This window comes from Homo sapiens, assembly GCF_000001405.40.
Source record: "Homo sapiens chromosome 16 unlocalized genomic scaffold, GRCh38.p14 Primary Assembly HSCHR16_RANDOM_CTG1".
NCBI lineage: Eukaryota > Metazoa > Chordata > Mammalia > Primates > Hominidae > Homo > Homo sapiens.
The window spans coordinates 236718-240247 of NT_187383.1; the positions used below are offsets into that span (position 1 = coordinate 236718).

At 49.6% G+C, this 3530-nt stretch overlaps 1 protein-coding gene across 1 annotated transcript; it reads left to right on the top strand.

Moving 5' to 3' along the window:
- Positions 1-1327: 1327 nt before the first annotated feature.
- Positions 1328-3060, top strand: LOC105379545 (uncharacterized). Its single transcript, XM_011546243.2, has 3 exons — positions 1328-1344; positions 2163-2239; positions 2336-3060. Exon 3 carries the CDS (start codon positions 2389-2391, stop codon positions 3058-3060), a length of 672 nt encoding a protein of 223 aa, XP_011544545.1. The 5' UTR covers positions 1328-1344; positions 2163-2239; positions 2336-2388.
- Positions 3061-3530: the final 470 nt, after the last annotated feature.

The window sequence follows — 3530 nt, forward strand, 5'->3', positions numbered from 1 at the left end:
TCATGGCTGGCTAAGTCTACAGGGATACCAGGCTCTCCTCAACCACCCAATTTGATTTAGAACCTCAAACAGCACCTCAGTTTCATGAAAACCTAACACATAAACACAACACTTGGTTGTAAGTGAGCCAACAGCTTCTTGTCTCTTTCTCTGCTCAAGGCTTAAGGCCGTGTCTCCCCAACTACGTTCAGTGGAAGAAAAGATCCCCTGGACAAATAAGTTTGAGGACTGTCATTGCAGGACTTCTCAGAACCTTTAAAACACAAATCCTCATCCGCAGGGATCTTCAGGAGGGAGACGGCTGATGCAGCACAACTTTCTTTCACAGGAGCATCTTGCAGAATACAGTATGAGATACAGAAAGGCTGCACTGAGTCTTTTTAAGGGTCTGGGCCTTGGTGGGGGTGGGGTAGGAGCTCTCCAGATAGCATCTAATGAGTAGGAACATTCAGGTTGCTTTTTTTTTCCCTTATTGGCAAAACTGTGTGTGCACCATGAATGAAGCTGGTCTCCCTTATCCACATCAAAACTAAACCCAAATTAATTGGCTAAATTGGGACTCAACACCACCAGGAGCCACGTGGAAGACAGCCCTACCACACTTTAAAGTAGCTTACCTCATCATGTTTGAGGAAAGCAAAACGCTTATGACCAGTATGCTGCTAATACAAGTCTACAGATAATGCTGTAGGAAAAATTATTTTTCCCAATCATAGCTGGCATAGTCCACATTTTGCATTACAATTTCCCCTTTTTTAAAATTTAAACACAGGTCTTTTTCTCTTCTTTTTAAACATTTTAATTTAATTTTACAAGACGGAGTCTCAGTATGTTGCCCAGGCTGGTCTTCAACTCCTGAGCTCAAGTGATACATCCCTCTCTGCCTCCCAAAGTGCTGGGATTACAGGCCTGAGACACTGTGCCCGGCCTTCAACATAAAGTTTAATTCATTCTTACAATTATCCTGAAGTTAGAAAAATGGAAGGGGAAGAAAAATGGCAAGCAGGTAGGCTGACTTCGACTTCATTATTTGGAAGGACAGTTTGCTCGGTTAAAACACTCTACTGCCCAAAAGGCCAAGACAACAGAAAAATACAGACTTACATAAATAGATTTTATATGTGACAGCAGTTTGAATGGAGACTTTTTCAATGCAAATGACAAACAGCTGTGCTTGGGAATAAATGACAAAGAATTTTTTATCTCAACAGCTGTCCTGAGAGCACGTCTCTACATCTATACCTGCATTCTGGAATCAGGGAGAAAGCCAAAACGGATGACAAGACACTAGGTCAGCCGCGTCCAACCCTTTGACTACAAGGACTTTTCCACCTATCTGTGGTGGTGGGTATCATGAAAATTATGCACAAACCTTTTTTTTTTTTAAGCTCATCAGCTATCGTTAGCATTAGTGTATTTTATATGTGGCCCAGGAGCATTCTTCTTCCAATGTGACCCTGAGAAGCCAAAAGACACCTGTGCACTAGATCAAAAGGCTACTCCTTCTGGAAGCAATTGTAAAGAATTTCTGACATTATCTTCACATGACAACCAATGGGTAGTGGGACAGAATGCAAAAATCTTCAAGTATTTTTCTTGTTGGTTTTTTTTTTTTTTTTTTTGAGTCAGGGTCTTGCTCTGTGGCCCAGGCTGGAGTACACTGCTGAGATCACAGCTCAGTGCAGGCTCAAGTGCTCCTCCCACCTCAGCCACAGTAGTAGCTGGGACTACAGATGTGCACAACCACCACTGGCTAATATTTTATTTTTTGTAGAGACAGGGTCTCACTATATTGTCCAGGTTAGTCTCAAACTCCTTGACTCAAGGGATCCAGGACAGGATAACAGGTGTGAGCCACCACATCTGGCCATGTGCATGAACTTTTAAGACAAACACAAGGCCCCACAAAAGTTAAAGTTTTCCCACCTAATTTCCAGGGGATCTTTTGGTGCAAGGATGAGAAGCCCTTAAAAGTACCCAGACAACTCCAAAGATTCAAGACAGTTCATTGGGGCTGAGCCAGCCCACTGGGCAGACTGACCTTCAAAAAAGGCCCACCCATGATATACACCAGATGGCTCTCCAAGAATCTCTCCAGTCCTCAGGGTCCCTAAGGTACTGGACAGAGCTAGGAAAGCAAACCCATGTGCTTCTTCCTTCAGGCAACCCCTTGAGGTCAAGACCCCACAATCAGATGAGGATGGAGTGGCTCACCCTCAGTCAACAGGCCAGACTCAAGGTGGTATTATGTCTTAACCAAGGGTGTGGGCCTCCAGGTCTCACTCCCAACTCAGTGCTCCTTTAATAACCACACTTTGTTAATTCTCCTTAACAGGGGTTCCAGGCAAGTCAGTTCTCCCTCAGGCCTTCGGTTTCCTCACCCACAAGATGAGAGGGCTGGACCAGATGGAAATTCAGGGGGTAAGGGGATGTCCGCTCGCAGCCCACCTCGCCCATGGGCCCCTCAAGCCTCCCTGCCAGTTCCCACGACGCACCCGCCCCACAGATCCTGCCCAAGGTGAGGGCTGGTCCCGGGTCCTCCGGCTGCCGCATCAGCGAGTGCAGGAGGGAGGGGAAGCCTCCAACGGGGCGACTCGGGCTCAAGGATGCAACTCGGCCAGGAGTGAACTCGGGCACGGAGGGAGGTGTCTGGGCCGCTCCTCGAGCCCAGCCTGGGTCCACGACCCCCTTACCTCCAGGGTCCGTATCTCCTGCTGGGTGAGGTCCTTGGACACAGCGCACTTGTTGCGCAACCGGCTCAGGCTGCCAATGGAGATGCGGATAAGCTTCTGGAGCTGCCCACAAGCTTCTGGAGCTGCCCACACTGCTGCAGCGTCTGGCTGGCTGCGGCCCCTGCGCCTCCCAAAGAGGCCGCCGCATCACCCCCGCCACCGCCCTCCTTCTTCTCTCCCCTGGCCGCTACGCGCAGCGCCGCTCTATGCAGGCCGCAGCGGCCAAGGCGGGGAGCTCGGGGCGCGGGCGCCTAGGCAAGGAACCCCCGAGCCGGGAGAGCTGGACCAGGAGCGCCCCTCGGCTCCGCCCGAACAAGGACGCCGGTAGAGCCGGCAGCCGAGTGTGCCGCTCCCGCCCTCAGAGCCGCGTCGGTGGTGGCAAAAAGCGGCGGCGGTGGGGGCAAAAAGCTGGGGCGGCGGGGACAAAAAGCCTCGGTGGCGGGGGTAAAAAGCCACGGCGGCAAAAACCGGCGGCGGCGGGGGCAAAATGCCGCAGGGGCAAAAAGCCGCAAAAAGCCGCGGCGGCGGGGGCAAGAAGCCGCGGTGGCGGGAGCAAAAAACTGCGGCGGCAAAAAGGGGCGGCGGCGGGGGCAAAAAGCCGCAAAAAGCCTCGGCGTAGGGGGCAAAAAGCCGTGGCGTCGGGGGCAAGAATCCGCGGCGGCGGGGGCAAAAAAAATATATATATAATTATATTATAAATATATATATTTCTATATAAAATATTATAAATATATATTATATTTATATATAATTATATATATTTATAATATAAAATATATTTATATATTATATATATTA